The sequence below is a fragment of the Homo sapiens genome, chromosome 9 (assembly GCF_000001405.40).
Source record: "Homo sapiens chromosome 9, GRCh38.p14 Primary Assembly".
In the NCBI taxonomy this organism is placed as follows: domain Eukaryota; kingdom Metazoa; phylum Chordata; class Mammalia; order Primates; family Hominidae; genus Homo; species Homo sapiens.
The window spans coordinates 121,880,178-121,899,363 of NC_000009.12; the positions used below are offsets into that span (position 1 = coordinate 121,880,178).

The 19,186-nt window shown below is 47.6% G+C and overlaps 1 protein-coding gene across 8 annotated transcripts in view, besides 2 other annotated features; it reads right to left on the bottom strand.

Annotated features, from left to right (window-relative positions):
- TTLL11 (tubulin tyrosine ligase like 11) overlaps nt 1–19,186 on the bottom strand; it is a 277,635-nt gene that overhangs the window by 64,504 nt on the left and 193,945 nt on the right. Inside the window, exon 2 of one of the 8 annotated variants that reach the window (NR_171569.1) lies at nt 4,444–5,398. The exons of the other annotated variants lie outside the window; for them this stretch is intronic. The gene's annotated coding sequence lies outside the window, so the exon portion shown is untranslated. Of the gene's footprint in view, nt 1–4,443; nt 5,399–19,186 lie in introns of those variants that run through there. 8 annotated transcript variants of the gene reach the window in all.
- Nucleotides 7,775–8,333: an enhancer, noted in NCBI's record as "H3K4me1 hESC enhancer chr9:124650231-124650789 (GRCh37/hg19 assembly coordinates)". NCBI's record gives its function as "activates a minimal SCP1, AML or CMV promoter by ChIP-STARR-seq in naive H9 embryonic stem cells {active_cell/tissue: H9 hESC(naive)}" and the evidence as "EXISTENCE:reporter gene assay evidence [ECO:0000049][PMID:30033119]".
- Nucleotides 16,771–17,460: an enhancer, noted in NCBI's record as "H3K4me1 hESC enhancer chr9:124659227-124659916 (GRCh37/hg19 assembly coordinates)". NCBI's record gives its function as "activates a minimal SCP1, AML or CMV promoter by ChIP-STARR-seq in primed H9 embryonic stem cells {active_cell/tissue: H9 hESC(primed)}" and the evidence as "EXISTENCE:reporter gene assay evidence [ECO:0000049][PMID:30033119]".

Consider the following 19,186-nt stretch of genomic DNA (forward strand, 5'->3'; position numbering starts at 1 on the left):
GAATTGGCTGGTGCTTAGCTTTTCTCTGGAACCCAGAGAAAGATTTTTTGAAGTATAAGCCCTGCCTGCACCAACTGCCCAAGGCACGGTGAACAAGGTCCCCAGGCCTGAGAGAGCATTCCAGGTCTGCATGGCCTGGTTGCTGCCTCCCTCATCCTCCACATCCACATCCCTCCCTCCTTTTATAAATGATCCACTAGAAAAACAGCCATCTTTCAAATTTAAGATTCTCTCTCACCTTTCCCAAAATGCTTCCCACGGCTTTTGGAGATAGAATCAACCATTCCTTTCTCTATAACCTCCCCGACTTAGTATTTCATCATCATCATCAAGAAATTTTTTGAGAACTCAATCTGCATCTTGCACAATGCTAAGCCCACAGTATACATTATTTTTTCTTCAGAGTAGTTATCACACTCCAATGGCTATTTGCATAACTGTCTGCTTAATGCCTATTTCTTTTCTAGACGGAAAGTTCCCAGAAGGGCAGGCACCATTACTGCCTGGTTTATGACTATACCTACAGCCCCAGCACAGCTCCCAGTACGCAGTAGGTGCTTAAAAATATCTGACAATGAATACAGTCATTATTTCAGTGAATTCTCACAACAATCCAATTAGTTAGTCACAGTTACTAACGTGAGTTTACACCTGAGGACGCTGAAGCGTGGGAAGGTTAAGTCAATGGCCTAAGCGAGGAGGCTGGGATTGGAACCTGGGTGGTCTGTCTCCACAGCCCACGTGTTAAACCCCTGCACTACCCCTGTATTTCTACACCCCTCTACTTCTGGTTGCCAGCATGAATCTTTTTTTCCTCTTGTTCTCTCACAGTCCCTGGGAAAAGCCTGTCTCTACCCTGGAAGAACAAAAATTTCCTAATGGCAACAGCAAGAGACTGTCTATATGACAACTGTAATCAGTGGTTGTATTAGCCTCTGTTTTACCACCTCCAAAATTAGCAGAAAAGGCCAACTTGAGCTTTCATTGTACAGCTCTGCTAATGAAGGGATCCTTTTAATTACATACTCAGTGCCTATCTGCAACACAAAGCATTTTAGTGTTTAAACACAGTTCTGTACCAAAGTATAGGGCTATGTGAATACAGACAATAAGTTGGGGGAAGCCATGTGTAAAAGTTATTCTTTGCCTAGACTGTAATTTCTTTTTGACAGTCAATTTCATCTAAACCCAGTTCATTTTCTATGGTAATCCTAATTCTCTTCTATACACTGAGCACCCGATGAACCCTTATTCAGTAATTCCGTAGGCATATCCCAGGTCAGATACTCCCTCTTCAGATTGCAGATGACATCTGCACACTTTGTTAATTTCACTCATCACTGACTGATTTGCTTTGAGGGCTCTCGCCACTTACCTGCGCTGGCACATCGGTCAATTCCCGCGGTACAGGTGTTGAACACAAAACCAGCTTCACTCAGCATCACGCCAGGAGTTCATGACATTTGTATCCCACTTTCCAAAGCAATTTTTGAGTGCCATTCTGTATGGGATTTGCACTGATGCGAATGAGGCCTTACGAGGCAGATCCCACAGACCTTTCTCAGACAAGGGTGTCCTGACCTTGCATTTGTATTTGGTCAGGGGAAAAAGGGAATCACTCTTAGTGAGCCCCTCCTTTGGGCCAGAGACTCTAACAGGCATTAATTACCCTGGTTAAACCACACAGAGACCTTAAGATGGAGATATTAAGATGCACCTCCAGAGCCAGAATGAGTGGGTTGGAATCCTGCCCCTGTTCCCAACTAGCTGGTAATCTTTGAAAAGTCTCTTATCCTGCTCATGCCTTGATGTCTTCATCTGTATAATAGGGATAATAACTCTCCCTATGTCGCAGCATTGTTGTGAGAATTAAATGGGCTAATCCATTCAGAGCCATACCTGGAACGTGGCAAGCACTCAGTAAGTGTTAGCTGCTGTGACTGAACAAACAAAGCTAAGCTCAGGTTAAACACAACACTCAAAGTCACGTGCCTCCTAAACAGTATCAACTGGTAACCAGGACCTGTCTGATGCTTAAGACCCTAGGCTTCCAGGGAGGCTAGGTCAAGGGGGCTCACTGCTGGTCCACCCCTAGAAGACTGTAGTCAGCGCCCTGGCCTGGCAGAGCGTGACCTAGAGGAAGTCTTTCCATGTGCATGGTCCCCTCCTGGCCGCAGCACGAGAACACTGGCTTCTGCCTCCACTGCCCACATACTGTTCTCTCAAGGGTGACCATGCACCTCCTAATTGTCACTGATCTTCTTAATCTTTCTCCAATCTTGCTTGTTCACAGCATTCAATGAAGCTGACCACTGTCTTCCTGAACCTCTCATTTCCTGGCTCCTGCACCCATGCACTCTCTGTGGTGTTTTTCCAACCTCTGTTTTCCCTCCTCTAGGACCCTTAGTAGTAGGTGGTCCTCTAAGTCCCTGTCCTTGACCTGCTCCCTGCCCACAGTCTTCCTGGGCGTTCTTATTCACAAACTCGATGGCCTGTACCTCGTGCCACCTCTCTGTGTCTGGGATGCCTCTGTCCTGCCCACCCCTTCACGACAGCCAAGTCCAAATCCTGCTCATTCTTCCAAGCTCACTCTAGACACCAGCCCACAGCCTTCCTGGATCCTTCCCACTCAGAAATACTCTCTTCCTGATTCCCACAGTACTTTATAGTGGAATTTATCATTTTCTAAATTTATATCACAGTCATTTAAGTTTGTGGCTTCTTTTTCCTGATAGACTCTGAGTTTGCCAGAAATAGAATCCATTTTTGTTCTTCTGGCAGTACTGTACATCTAATAGGTGATACAAAAAACACATGCTGATACATGATTGTGTAAGTAAAGTATTCTTTAAGACAGAGAACATGAAGAATTTGGGGTAATTTTGCCTGAAGACAAGAAAATGGGCAGGGTGACCTTTGGGCGTCATTTTTCAGCTTATGGGTCTATAAACCCATCTTTAGGGCAAAAATACCACATTAATAATTTATGGTGATGAGAATAACGGTCATTCTGGTTCCACCCCTTACCAATTGTGTGGCCTTAGGAAATGGAGATCAATACTCAGCCTCTGGTTCTCTTCTGTAAAATGGAGATGGACGATAGAATCCACTCTCCAGAGGTGTTGAGGGACTTGATGGGGTGGTATAAACAAGGGGCTGGCACCCTGGTTGGAACATCGTAAGTACCAAAGAAATGGTAGCTGTTATATGACTCCTTTGACATATATTTATTGAGTACTAACTCTGCAGCTAGGGATGTTGGGTCAACTCAAGCCCCACCTCCTCCAGGAAGATTTCGCGGCCTCCTTCGACCCATGACATTCTTTCCTCAAAGAACTCTGGTCCTATCAAGATTAGATTTTTTAAAGAATCTGACTAATAAATTAGGCATGCCTATTAGCAGTCAGGTCCAGAGAAAAAGTCTAACTTTTTACTTTATGCAATTTGAATTCCCTGAACATAGAGTTGTTGTCAAAATCCATTAAAGTATTTAATTTCTCTTGTCACTGCACAATTCCCCAAGCAGACATCCAGACAGTTTGCAGTGGTGTTTCTCACAGAAGTACTAAATGTTTAGTTATCAAGGTACATTTTTTAGATGATGCCTCCCTGATGGCTCTGGAGACTCTAGAGAGACTGTGTAAGTTCAAGCGCAAGGTTAAGGCAGGCAGCAGAGTGGCGAGAGCTGCAGGGAGGATGAATCACGCAGGCCTGGGCTTCAGCTCTGACACTGCCACTTCCTGGCTGACTGACCTTGGGGAAGGTACTTAACCTTACTGAGCATCAGTTTCCTCATTTGCAAAGTGGTGACAGCACCAAACCCACAGGGCTTTAGTGAGCACGAAGTGGAATACCAAATGTAAAGAACCCAGGAGAATGCCAGACACATCGCTGGTCCACGATACAAGATGGCTTAAAAATCCCAGAGATTTGCAGATGCACAGACTGGGGTCTAGAGGCTGCCGTCCCCATCCACCTCCCCCTCCCAGAGGGACAGCCCTAAGGAGCAGTGTGTTTATGGCGACACAATGGCCAGACCCACAGGGTCCTGCCTCTTCACAGTAGCCTCTCCCAACACCCATTCAAATCAATTATTACCCCACTTGACCGACTCACCCGGTGGGAGCCAAAGGTTTCCATGCCAACAGGAATGTGGTGGGCATCCCAACCCCCAAGAAAGAAAACAAAAGCGACTCTTTTAGTTTCCCTACTAACAAGCGCGGAGCTGAAGTCAGAGCTGTCTCTTTCTCAGTTGTCATGGCAACATCCACTGACCTACCCCGTCCTGCCAAACACACACGCGGGAGAGGGAGAGGGCAAGGGGGATGTGTGGGAGGTGGTGGTCCAGGGATGAGGGGCAGCAGAAACGCTCCACAATGCTCGGGAGAAAAGTACAAAAACACCCACTTTTACAAAAAAAAACCACTGGCAAATGCACCCCCCTTGCCAGGGAATGGAGAAATTCCAGTTTTTATTGTGTCGTTCCTTTGGCAATTATGAACAAATTTAGAGCCTATTCAAAAGGCCAGTTCAAACCAGAAGAGGGAACAATTATTAATTTCTCAGCTATGACACAGAGACAGGGGGCACTTCACTTGTACCTCTCCTGTCCTGCTCAGCATTTGGGAGACTGGGGTTGACGCTACTGTCTGCTGCCTCTCGCCACAGCTCAGGGCACAATCTACAGGGCAATTTCCCATTCCTGACCTAATGCAGCCTCAACAACAGCTTGGGAAGAACAAAGCAAGGCACCCACTCTGCAGGCAAGAAAACTGAATGCCGTGACCACAAACCCATGAGTACCCACTTCTGTTTTCTGTTTTCTAGTTTGCTCTCTGCCCCCAGAAGTCTTCACCCAGGAAAACACTTGAATTTGCCCAGATGGGATCAATTATTTCCCACACTCTTAGTCCTCGTGTAGCTTTGAAGAATCATTTTCTGGAAGTCCAACACCTGCCAGAAAATCCACCCAGATAGCCCACTTGCATCTCGGTAATCCAACGTTCCAGGATGAAGATAATACATCCCCTTGAACCTGCTTCTTGCTATTTCCATGTTGTTACTGGCAACTTCATCACCCCAGTGAGCCAAGCTCAAAACCCTGAAGTCAGCTTCGGATTCTCCCTCTTCCTCAGCCTGGTTTCTGGGGACTTGTACAGAAGTCTTCCACTGTCCGTTTTCCATTTGGAGGCTCTGATTCAAATATTCTGGGGCATCCTAGCAAGTGGAAAGCAGTGAGCAGTGGTTAACCACAAAGGCTGTGGGGTCAGGATGCTGGAGCTCTCGCTGCTTGGACACCTGTGTGCTAAGCACATCCTCTTATTTGATTCTCACCACGACCCTTTGAGGTTAGGATTCTTCTTCATATGATTCCCAGTTTCCATAAGAGACCGTTTCCCTATGAGACACAGAAAAATGGCATAATTTGCCCAAGGTCATCCAGCTTAGAAGTGGCAAAGCCGGCTTATGATTCTGGATTGGCTGGACTTAGAACTCTGACTCTGAACCAATATGCATAGCTCCTTCCCACTCAACCACAACTCTTTTTCTTTCTTTCTTTTCTTTCTTTGAGACAGGGTTTCACTCTGTTGCACAAGCTGGACTGCAATGGTGTGATTATGGCTCACGGCAGCCCCAAACTCCTGGCCTCATGCAATCCTCTTGCCTCAGCCTCTCAAGTAGCTGGGACTAAAGGCACAGTTCACCACTCCTGCCTAGTTTTGGTATCTTTAGTAGAGACAGAGTTTCTCTATGTTGTCCAGGCTGGCCTCTAACTCCTGGGCTCAAGGAAACCTTCTGCCTTGGACTCCCAAAGTGCTGGGATTACAGGCATGAGCCACCGTGCCCAGCCTATAACTTTCTTAGGAACAGGGCCCATCACTTCATGTTTATATCTCAGCACTGACACCAGGGCCTGCCTTGCAGCACCTGATGAGTGCCACCTGATCAAAGCTCCATAGAGTGTCTTAGCTCAGAGCTGACCAGCCTGGGTTCCGTGCCCTATGAGACCCCTTCTCCATATGTGACTTTGGGGGAACCATTAGGTAACAGCTGGAAGGCTGCAGTGGGCTGAACACTGTCCCCCAGAAGATATATCCAAGTCCTAACCCCTGAAACCTGTGAATGTGACCTTTTTTGGAAAAAAAGAGTCTTTGCAGATATAATTAAGGATCCCAAGATCATTCTGGATTTAGAGAGAGCCCTAAATCTGGGGACAGATGTTCTTATAGGAGAGAGATAGAGGGAGATTTGATGCAGACATACACAGAGGAGAAGGCCATGGGAACCGAGGGCAGAGGCTGGAGTCATGTTACCTGGCCAAGAGCTACCAAATGCTGGAAAAGGCAAGGAAGGATTCTCCTCTAGAGCTTTGGAGGGGGCATGGCCCTGCGGACACCCTGCTCTCAGACTTCTGGCCTCCAGCACTGTGAAAGAAGACATTTCTGTTGTTCTAAGTCACGCAGTTTGAGGTAACTTTTTAGGCAGCCCTAGGAAACTGATGTAAGAGTCCAGTGTCCTTATGTCCAACCTAGGTACCCTTGGGGGTTACTGTGAGATCATGTAACTGGAAGCAACTAGAATAGTGCCTGGTGCACAGTAGGCCCTCAATAGATGCTAGCTGAACAGCACTAAAACATTCTCAGTCAATATCCTGGAAACTTCTTTCCCAAGGCACACCTGGCTGACTGCCTCTGTCTATATTCTCAAGCTTGTAAAATGTTTAACTTCAGAACCCACGAGCCAGAAGGAGGAGCCACAGGGAGTATCTCCCTTTGAGCTCAGCTGCGTGGGATGAACGGGCAGCCAGCAGAGATGTTGGTGTCCTTGCGAGGCTGGTAACTAAGTACTGGCCCATCTCCAGACCAGGATGATGAGCCTGTCACGGTGGGTTTCACAAAACATCTGTTTCAGGAACAAGCCTATTGTTTCAGGCAAGCTCTAGAGATAATAGTATGTTTTTCCTACATACAGCCATGACATGTTCACTGAAGCGAATATCTCTAAATGTGACCAATTTCTTAAGTGGCAGAAGCCCATCAAACTCTTTGAGAACATATATGGCATGTGGGCAGCCCAAGCAGCTTCCTTTGCTGCCACAGAGCTAAAAGCAACACTCATTCTGGCTTGCAGGGAGGCGGTGAGAGTGGGTGGAGGTAGCGGTGGCGATTTCTCTGAAATTGGTCCCTCTAAAGGTTATGCTTCATTCTGCAAGGGAGTCAGGTCCCCAGGCTTCATGCATATGGATGGCAATGGTGGTTGAATGATAACCTGCAATTTCTCTTCCCCACGTTAATCGACTTGGGTTGGCTACCAAGAATTTGACTAGGAATCGCGATGCCAGTGCACATACCAATGATCCCAGGATCTCAGCTCAGCTCTGCCGGCTTCAACTCAATTCTGGCCTGAAATAAGAAAGCACTAGCTCGGTGTCCCGTGTGAGATGAGCAGACTATGCCTTGGCATGGGATAGAGAGACGGCCAGAAGGCCGACCACAGCGAGGAGAGCTGGGACACTTTCCCACAGGCGAGGGGAAACTTGGGCCAATGAAGCAAATGCTTCAAGATCCCCCATGAAGAAAGTGCCTCCCCCGCAGCAAGCTGTCCCCCGTCCTTTCTCCCAGGGGAGGAGTGGGATGTGAGCTCCTTCCCTCGGCACACAGATCAAGTCTGGAATACATCTGGTGTCTGGTGTGCTGCTTGGAAGTCAGGCCTGAACTGCCTGGGGGCCCCCAGGCAACCCCAACACCCAGTGGGGGTCTGGAGTGAGTCAGCTTCCTGGCCCCGGGAGCCCAGTTAGCCTGAAGCTGCCCTGGCTATTGGAACCTCCACTCTTAAACCCTCTTTGCTCACCCGGGTGGGACACTGGCCTGCAGCCTTGGCCCAGGTCCCCTCTCCAGTTCCTGGCTCTATCCCCCTCCCCTTCCTCACCAGACTGCTGCTGGGATCCCAGGATGCCATAGGGTTAAGCCCATCCTGGCTGACTGAGAAGGTCCCAAGGCCAAGTCTTTATAGCTCAGAAGGCAGTGGCTCTGGTATAACCTCCCCTAATTATCCTGTGCCCTGCAGACTGCTCCCAGAGAGCACTGGGCAAAGGAGTCAACACATCTGAAGAGGAAATAGCTTCAAGTCATAGAGACCAGCAAGTTCAAGGTCCTCATTCTGCCTGTAGACAAGTTCTGGAGATGGGAGGTGTGGCTTGTTCAAGGTTTCCCAGCACTTAGGTTTTAGGGCTCAGGAAAGAACCCGGGTTTCTGCACTCCTAGTGCAGTTTGCTGTGACAACGTCCTTGGCTCTTCTTTGGGCCAGTTCAGCTCTTTGTAGACAGGGGCTGTGTCTGACTCATTTCTGACTCTCCAGCAACAGCATGGGGCCAGGCCCGGAGCAGGGAATCAGTCAATGTTACTTAGACTTGGCTGAATCAGTCCCCTTTGTAAAACGAATAAATTAGACACAGACACATTACTGAAGCCTGCACAAAGATATGGCTTCAGGATCTTCAAATACCTCAACTACGAGCAGGGGGGTGCTATTTCTGCCTATAAAATGGCATGGAAGTAGAAAAAGATGTTAGGTCACTATGTGAATTTTTCCTTGCATAACTGTGATCCTGTGTCCACACAGTAACAGCCGCTATGGACTGGAGGTTGTGGCTGACATGCAGGCACTGGACTGGGGGCCTTGGACACAGGTCCAATTTAGTCCTGCTCTCAGCCCTGCCAGGCAGGAACTATCAGCCCAGATAGCGCTTGATAATAGGTAGAAACTGAGGCTTAAGCCAGTTCAGTGCTTTGCCCAAGGACACATAGCTCCCAAATGCTAGAGCATGGATTTTAGTCCAGGTCTGTGCTGTTTTACCTGGATTGGGTTGTTCTGACATTAGAATAGCAATAATATCTAATACATCGTGAGTTTACTCTGTGGCAGGCATGTTAGGTGCATGGATTCATTTAATTCTCACAACAACCCTATGAGGTATCTCTACTTTACAGACGGGGAAAAATAGGCCCAGAGAAGTGAAGTAATTTTACCAAGTAATCAAAGCCAGCCTAGAAGACAGGGAGGGAATAGTGAGAGACAGAGAGAGCTCAGAATAAGAGGCTGGAGGTGCACGAGGAGCTCTGGAGTTGGGCTGGATTTGCTCGCTATGTGATTTTGGGCAAATTACTTGGAATACTTTTTTAATTTTTGGAAAAATATATATAACATACAATTTACCATTTTAACTATTTTAAGTGTGTAATTCAGCAGCATGATGTACATTCATTGCTGTGCAGCCATCATCACCTTCCATCTCCAGAACTTTTCTCATAGTTCTCCACTGAAACTCTGTCCCTATCAAACAATAACTCTCGACTCCCCCACATCACCCCCAGCAACCACCACTCTACTTTCTGACTCTATGAATTTGACTACTCTAGGTGCCTCACACAAGTGGAATCATGGCTGGGCGCAGTGGCTCACGCCTGTAATCCCAGCACTTTGGGAGGCCGAGATGGGTGGATCACGAGGTCAGGAGTTTGAGACCAGCCTGGCCAACATGGTGAAACCCCGTCTCTACTAAAAATACAAAAATCAGCAGGGCATGCGGGCGTTTGCCTGTAATTCCAGCTACTCTGGCGGCTGAGGCAGGAGAATCACTTGAAATCAGGAGGCGGAGGTTGCAGTGAGCCAAGATCGCACCACTATACTCCAGCCTGGGCAACAGAGCAAGACTCCATCTTGGGCGGGGCGGGGGGGGAGGTGAGGCTGGGGAGGAAAGTGGAATCATATAGTGTTTGTCCTGTGTATCTGGCTTATTTCACTTAGCATAATGTCCTAAGGGTTCATCTATGCTGTAGCATGTTTCAGAATATCCTTCCTTTTAAAGGCTGAGTCTGTTTATTCATTCATTCATTCATTCATGGACATTGTAAATAATGCTGCTATAAACAAGGTGAACAGGGCAAGTTACTTTTCAGTTAGTCATTTTTCTACCCCAATTCTGAGCCTCCAGCTTTGTTCCTGACTCAGAGGAGGGATTCCCCATCCATCCAGTGTCTGGGCCAGAAACCAGAGAGAAGAGATTCATTCTCCCTCTCCCCTCACAAGCATCAAGCCAGCCAAGTCCTATCCCTCCTGTCACTGCAGTTCACACACATCTCTGCCATCACTTGTCAGCTCATCATGGGTCACCTGAACTTCAACAGCCTCTTCACCAGTTTCCTGGCTCGCAACCTCCGCTTCCAATGTGTCCTTCATGTCATAGCCAAAATCCCCAAGCCTGTCCCTGGCTCACTCCCTCATTTCCTTCAAGTGTGTGTCCAAGTGTGCCCTTCTCAGGCAGGCCTCCCCCAAGCACTCTGCTTACAAGTGCAGCCCACAATCTTCCCAGCCCTCCAGAGCTCTCCCTGCTTCATTTTCTCCATAGCGCTCATCACCACTCATCACAGTATAGATTTTACTCATTTATTTTGTTTATTTTCCATCTCCTGTCCTCTCATCCTCCACCTCCCATCAATAATGGCAGTTCACAAAGGCAGGTATTGTTGACAGTTTTGTGCACTGCTGACTCCTCCATCCTGGTGCAGAGTAAGTGCTCAATAAACACTGGCTAGGTGCATGAATGCATGAATGGGTGCATGAATGCATGAATGACTGGCTCTTCTCTGCCTGCAGAGTGAAGTCTAAACTCTCTGGCCTGGTCAAGCCCTTGACTTTGGGTCCCTCTCTGGCCCCATCTCAGACCACAGTCCTATTTAAGCTCCAGCCACATTGCCCTGCCCACTAAGCCCTCCTGCTGTCTGATAGACAAAGACCCTAAGCCTTTGCATGAAACTGGCCTCTGCCTGGAACTTCATTCCTTCCACCTTGCCCCACCCTTCTGCTGGTTTGTGGGGCCCCCTTCACTAGGCTCCCATGACACCCTGTTTTTAACCCCTTTTGAAGCCCTTTTCACGCTATATTACAATCGTCCTTGAACCCATCTCTAGCTGTTCTAAACTGCCAGCTCCACCAGGGCAGGAAGACCTTGCTCACACTGGGATTCTAAGCGCTGTTCACTGAGCACATCATAGCTGCACAGAAAGTATCTACTGAAAAACACGAGCAACCTTGAGAGTCTCCACTGCTTCAACCTGAAACAATGGCGATGCCACTCCTGCAGGGTTGCCCGAGGATCAGAGATCACATACGATATGTACAACATCTGCCACCGTGCCTGGCACAGGGCAGGCATTTAACACCTAGCAGTTCAGTGCTAGCCTTTGATGCAACAGCGGGATCACAACGATTTAGGAAGATCTGCTGCCTTTGTTTAGAAGCCACCAGCTGAAGTCCTTCCATAATTTGTCATCTCTGGGGCCAGCCGGTAAGTGTTGGCCCCAGAAAAAATCCCTGTCCTTTCCTGTCTTATCCATCACATTTTGGCAGCATGCTCACTGAGCATAGAAAACGTCCAAGTTCACTTTCTTCTCAGAACTGACTGTATCTATAATCATCGTGTCACGGAACTGAGAACTTCCAGGGATTTCAAGGACCAACTGTGCTGATCCCTCATTTTACACCTGAGGATACAGGCTCAGAGAGGTTGTCTAACTTGCTCATAGTCACTCAGCCAGATAGGAGTTTCACCTTCTCTTTCCTTTATGCACAATTTCAATTCTCTCTGGTTGAACCTGTTGGACCCTAAAGGATTTGAGGGTTTAGTCTAAAATTCTCACCTGGGCTAAATCCTCACCATTATCATCATATATATACGTGTGTGTATATATATGATGATAATATATATACACATATATATGAGATATATATATCTTATATATCTCATATATATGAGATAATATCACTATAATATAAAACCTATATATAGGTTTTATATATAAATATATATTAAAAAATATAAAAAATATATAAACTATATATGTAGTGATGATAATATCTATCAATTATGAAAGTTAAAAAGTCTCCTTCTACCTTTATATATATACACACATACATATACATATATACACAGATATATATATACACACACATATATATACATATATACATATATACATATATATATATAATCTTCCAATCAGCAGCATCAAGTTCATTTTAGACATTGGAAACTCTTACTGGGAAACTGTGTTAGTCCATTTGCATGCTTCTGATAAAGGCATACCTAAGACTGAGAGGAAAAATAGGTTTAATGGACTCACAATTCCACATGGGGGGGTGCTCACAATCATGGCGGAAGGCAAAAGGCACTTCTTAAGTGGTGGCAAGAGAGAATGAGAGTCAAATGAAAGGGGTTTCCCCTTATAAAACCATCAGATTTCGTGAAACTTATTCACTACCACAAGAACTGTATGGGGGAAACCGCCTCCATTATTCAATTATCTCCCACCGGGTCTCTCCCACAACACGTGGGAATTATGGGAGCTACAATTCAAGATGAGATTTGGGTGGGGACACAGAGCCAAACCATATCAAGAACCTTTTCTGCAACCCAAACAGAAGAAATTTTACTCTTACTGTCCCCCTGAATGAATGACCTGCCATCCACAGAGGGATGGCAATGTCCCGCCACATTCTCCATGGAAGAGAAGCTCCTCCCTGGAAAATACCTCTGCCTGCCCAGAAGTGAGGTCCCCTTTGTCGTGGCCACTGGCAGTACTGTTGCTGGACTGTTTTGAGTGGGGAAGGAGGCCGCTGTGGGAGCAGTGTCAGGTCTGGCAGTCAGGGGGTTGCAGAAGGATCAGGAAGGCCGTGAAGGGGGCCCCAGTTGGAAGTGAGCCCAGAACTCCCCCTCACTGGGAAGGGAGCTCTGAGTCATCAACCACCACCTACAGACTAATTCACAACCTATGGTCCCAGAGGAAATCATTAGTTCTAAGTATTATTATTAGGCATAATAACTAATTAGTAAAAATAGCTACCATTTACCGAGTGCCAACTTATGCCTGATACTTAATGCATATTATTTCTTTTTCCTATTTTATGCCTTTAAGTTTATTTCCTATTTTCCTAATTATAAAGTCAATATATGTTCATGTAAAAAAAATAGTTAAATATACCAAAAAGCAGACAAAGAGGGAAAAAAATCACAGTTTATTCCATTACGTACCTACGACCATTGTTAACATGTTGGTGTTTTATTTCCAGAATTTCTTCTCTGTCTGTCTCTCTAGCCTTCTCCATGCATGCATATGTGTGTGTGTGTGTGTGTGAGGGGGGCCATGTGAGATTTAACATAGTTGTGACCATGATTTTACAAAAAATTACCTCTAACTTCTACAACAATCCTCTGAGTTAGGTACTATTATCCCCATTTTACAGATGAGAAACCTGAGGCTCAGAGAAGATGAATAATTTGCCCAGTGTCCCACAGCAGGTCTATGGCGGGAGAGGGACTCATATCAAGTCTTTCTGTTATCAAAACATGTCCTTTCCCCACTCTGCGATGTTCCTTCCCACTTAACAAGGAAGAACTGGGGATAGTTTAATTACCTCTACGTCTGCTATCCCATTCCTCTGCCTGTATCTGCTGGACCACACCCCACAGAGAGCTGTAGGTAAGGGAGACAAAGATTATCCCACTTACGTCTACTCAATGGGCAGTACCCAAGGATGGAAAGCTTTGAAAGCTTAAGCTTAGATGGAGACATTCTGTCAGAAACTGGAGGGAATCTGTTTTCTGTGCATACAGATATCTGGAAAGCTGAAATCAGAAAGCACAATGAACTATTCTTTGCAAGCTGTTTTGCATGAGAAAAATGTAAGTATCATCTGAAGAGCAGCTGCAGGATGGCCTCCAAAGCTCTAAGGGGCTGGGCCACCACGAGCCACACCTGTGGGGAGGAAGTAATGAGCACCTGGATTCCACGTTTCACCAAATGTTTGAGCAAAGCCATGGGTACTAAGTGTCTTCATGTTGGTACCAAGCAGATAAACATGTGACATCTCTCTCCTATATGCCAAGCACTGGGCACGGGGTCTATAAAATAAATGAGACAGTGTCCCTGCCTGCAAGGAGCCTACAGCCTGGTGCAGGAGACCCCTAAAAGAAGAGACTTATACCAGGATGTAGGAAGTGCTGAGATGGAGACACAGAAACCTTTCTGGAGAAATAGAAACGCTTTTACACTGTTGGTGGGAGTGTAAATTAGTTCAACCATTGTGGAAGAAAGTGTGGCAATTCCTCAGGGATCTGGAACCAGAAATGCCATTTGATCCAGCAATCCCATTACTGGGTATATACCCGAAGGATTATAAATCATTCTACTATAAAGACACATGCACACCACATATGTTTATTGCAGCACTAGTCACAATAGCAAAGACTTGGAACCAACCCAAATTCCCATCAATGATAGACTGGATAAAGAAAATGTTGCACATATACACCATGGAATACTATGCAGCCATAAAAAAGGGAAGAGTTCATGTCCTTTGCAGAGACATGGATGAAGCTGGAAACCATCATTCTCAGCAAACTAACACAGGAACAGAAAATCAAACACCACAAGTTCTCACTCATAAGTGGGAGTTGAAACAATGAGAACACATGGACACAAGGAGGGGAACATCACACACCAGGGCCTGTCGGGGGGTGGGGACTAGGGGAGGGATAGCATTAGGAGAAATACCTAATGTAGATGACAGGTTGATGGGTGCAGCAAACCACCATGGCACATTGTATACCTATGTAACAAACCTGCACCTTCTGCACGTGTATCCCAGAACTTAAAGTATAATTTTTTTAAAAAAGGGTTAAAAAATTGGACCCTCAAGGTCCAATCCCTAAAAACGTTAAGATGGGAGAATTCATGGTTGAGAAGAAAAGTCAGCGGGGGTCAGGGGAGGTGGGACCAACGACAGGAATAAACTGATTAAAGCCTTTTTAGCCACGTCCTATGCTCGTTTAAATGAAAAGATAAAGACAGGGGACTAAATAAAGATATATCTTTATCTTACATGTCTTAAATGTAGTAACAATGAGCTTCCACACTTCACTCCCTACAGAGTTTTCAGAATCCTTCTCTCTTTCATCTTGAAAAGATGTCTGGAACGTTTTGCTTTGCTGCAGATAATGTTCACAATGAACCTCATTTGTGTGTGTGTGTCTGTGTGAGCTATGTTTGTGTGTGTTTGTGTAGCTGTGTTTGTGTATGTGAGTGTGTGCACAGAGTTGTGTTTGTGTGGCTGTGTGCGTGTGTGTGTATTGTGTGATGTGCGGTTGTATGATTGTGTGTTTGTGTGACTGTGTGTGCATGAGTGTGCGCTGCGTGTGTGTCTGTGCACGTTTGTGTGGTTGTGTAAATGTGTGGTTGTATGAGTGTTAGTGTGTGTGGTTGTGTGTAGTTTTGTGTTTGTATGACTGTGACTGTGACTGTGTGTTTCGTTGTACATATGTGTGTGTCTGTGTGGTTGTGTGTTTGTGTGACTGTGTGTGGTTGTGTATGTGTGTCTGTGTGAACATGTGGTCATGTGTGCTTATGAGTGTGTGTGTATGTGTGGTTGTGTGTGTTTATGTGTGTCTGTGTGAATGTGTGATTGTGTGGGTTTGTGTGACTGTGTGTGATTGTATCTGTGTGCGTCCGTGTGGTTGTGTGTTATTGTTTTGTGTTAGTGTGTGGGTGTGTGTGTGTCTGTGGATGTGCGGGTGTTTTGTGTGTTTGTGTATGTGTGTATGTGTGGTTGTGTGTATGAATGTGTTGTGTGGGTTTGTGTGACTGTGTGTCATTGTATCTGTGTGTGTCCCTTTGTGTGGATGTGTGGGTGTGTCTGTGTGGGTGTGTTTGTGTGGGTGTGGGTGTGTGGGTGTGGGTGTGTGTCTGTGGTGGGTGTTTTGTGTGAGTGTGTATGTGTGGTTGTGTGTGTGTATGAATGTGTGGTTGTGTACATTTGTGTGGCTGTGTGTCATTGTATCTGTGTGTGCCCGTTTGGTTGTGTGTGTTTGTGTGTGTTTTTGAGTGTGTGTGCTCCGCCATCTACAGGTTCTGTTATCTCTAACTGAGTAAGCAGGAGCCGTTAAATTCTGCCTCTGGCTCCCACCCAAGACACGGAATGCTGGGAATGGTTCCACCTTGGTCCAGCGCAGCAGATTAATCTAGAAAGAATAGACACATTTCTTACGGCGCCCAACACGGGCTCCCCTTTCCGGGGCTAGGTGGCTTTAGCCTAGAGTTCCCAACTGTGGGCCAGGAACCCACCCCTCAGCCCTTCACTTTTAGTCATCTTCCTCTTAACACTCCTGGAGGTCAGTTCCACAGCCCCAGCTGCTGCCCTCAGCTCTCCCATCTCACACACAGTCTTGGTGCCCAACCTCTTCGGTGTCACTTTCTCTCCTACCTCTTCCCTCTCATGTCTCGACTCCAAGGCCCTCTTTCTCCTGGAAATCGGGACATGATTCGGAACTCACACTTCTCCCGGGTCGGGACATAAGTCAGGACTCACACTTCTGGGTCCGAGGTTGCATAGATGGGCGTGCAGGAGGCCATCTGCAGGTGCCTGAACTTCAGTGCGGGGTCCTGGCGGCGGGGCGGCAGGGATGACTACGCAGACCCTGGCCCTGAGGCGGGAGGAAGCACCTCCTTCACCCGCCGCAAGAGGAACAGGCTGTTCCAGCCGAGATCATTTCGGAAACGATGCTGCGGCTAGCCTGGGAATGGGGATCTGTTTGTGGGTGTCATGGCCATCCCACGCCAAAAGAAAAACGCGTACAGGGATCCGAGGCACGAACCAGCCGCGCACTACAGACCACGCCTCGAGTCAGCTGTAGGTCTTTTCCTTATGACCGCTTCCCAAACTGGCTCTGCAAAGTCAGTGTCAACCAATCACCTATTCCACAAATTTGATTCAGGCCACATTAATTTGCGTTTGACCTAACAGTCTAGCAGTCAATAGACTTATTAAGGAAACCTGAATGACTAAGAATGTCAGCCAGCCAGCCATGCACACACAGGAAAAGATCAAAAGGGGGACCTTTGTGAGAGAAGGCATGGCTCACCCCCACACAGAGGCTATGTGCTTGCAGTAGTTTTTTTCCAGTTATGAAAAAATAAAACCATACTGGTTTTCCACAGCGGATATCCACTGGGTGCTTTTAGACCTCATAACAAGCCTGCCAGGCAGGACACAGGCCCAGAGAGGTTAAGCACCTCACTCGAGATCACACAGCTAGCACGCGGTAGAACTGAGGCTCAAACCTGAGCAGCCTGAGCCGCTCTTCGTTGTTGCCTCTTCTGGGGGCTGCGGTCATTCTTCAGGCCCTGGCTTCGGCTCATTTTTCTCTCTCTTCTCTCCAGATACTCAGCCTCATCAGTGCTCCGGCCATCATCTCTGCGATGACTCCAGATTGATCTAATTTTCCCTTCTCACCAGGATTCCAGCCCACTCTGCAAGTCCCTGCTGAATGTCGACTCTTGGCTACCCCGCATCCCACAAGCCCACCTTCCCAGGCATTTCCCTCCAGGCACACACACACACACACACACACGCGCGCGCGAAGTCTCCAACTGCCCCGGGAGGGTGTTCTCAATTGCAGGAGAGCCCTTAAAGGCCACCTCCTCAGGGAAGCTTTCTCTGCCCATGTCTCCATTCTGATGCATCCCTGGGTACTCAGTTTCCCCTTGGTCCTGACTGTACCGGGCACAGCCTCTGCTGCTGTGTTTTCCCTCATTTCACTGCATTTCTCCCCATCAAATGGATGTTTTTCCTTCTTCTCCCTTTCTCCCTTCTCTTTTCTCCTCTCCTTCCCTTCCCTCTCTTTCTTCTATTCTTTTTTTTTTTTTGAGATGGAGCCTAGCTCTGTCACCCAGGCTGGAGTGCAGTGATGCAATCTCAGCTCACTGCAATCTCTGCCTCCTTGGTTCAAGCAACTCTCATGCCTCAGCCTCCCGAGTAGCTGGGACTACAGGCACCTGCCACCACACCTGGCTTGTTTGTTTGTTTAAGTAGAGACAGGGTTTCACCATGTTGGCCAGGCTGGTCTTGAGCTCCTGACCTCAAGTGACCTGCCTCAGCCTGCCAAAGTGCTGGGATTACAGGCATGAGCCACCATGTCCGGCTCCATTCTTCCATTCTTAAAACCTGCTGTCACCACCCCCACCCCCACAGAGAGAAAAGCTGGGACGCTAGAAAGGGAGAGACGGTGCTTGGGAAAAAGGAGGCTGGGGAGCCCTGTTCTCAAGTGAGGGGCCAGGAGGCACTGCTGCTGCCTCTTTGGCCCTGAAAAGGGGATGTGGGGGCTTCAGGCAGATGGGGTAACCCCACTGGCTGCAATAGGGATAGCAGAGGTGGCTGAAGTGGAACAGGGAGCCAGGACAGGAAACCATAGGCCCAAGGGAATGACAGGCCTGAGAGGGTGGGGCAGGGCCAGGCCTGGAAGGCAAAATGGCTGCCAGTGTGGGGGCTCTGGCAATGCAGGGTCCTAACGCTCCCACCACAGAGCAACCCAAGGTCAAGTGCTTGATGGCCGTGTGTCCACCGATGGGCCAGGCACGGTGGGCTCCCTGGGCATGGCACTTAATGGGAGCAGGTCATTCTGGCCATCTCCATCAGTGCAGCAGCATGATCACCACTCACTGCAGCCTCAAACCTCTGGGATCAAGCGATCCTCTTGCCTCAGCCTCCTGAGTGGCTAAGACTACAGCCACATACATGGTTTAGACTTCACGCAACACATCCACGTGTGCAGCTGAGGAATGTGGTGAGATGCATGTCTGGCCAGCTGCTGGGCAGGGAAGGAGCCATAAGCACCCTCTCCTTGTCCTCATGCCTGCTTCTGTTGCTGGGTGCCCTTCTTCTTTGCCTGGCTCCTGATAACTCGGGAAATCTTGGCATTGCAGAGGGGCCCTCTCCTGCTCCATCAGCCCCTGTGCTCATCAGACCTGAGCCCCTGTCAGGGGCCATGCTGTGTCAATGAGCTGCTTACATCACCTCCTCCCTGGGCCCCTCTGCTCCAGCTCTGCTGGCCACCTTGCAGCTCCTTGAACTTGCCAGGCACAACTCCGTCTCAAGGCCTCTGCACTTGATGGCTGCCCTGCCTGGAGAGCTCTTCCTCCCTCAGCTTGCTCCCTCTATCCTCTGCGTGTTTACTCAACACCGCCTTCTCAATAAGCCCTGCCCTAAACACTCTTTATGCACTTCTCTGCTTTATTTTTTCTGTCTTAATACTTATCACCTATTAATTCACTCTGTGTGTGTGTGTATGTGTGTG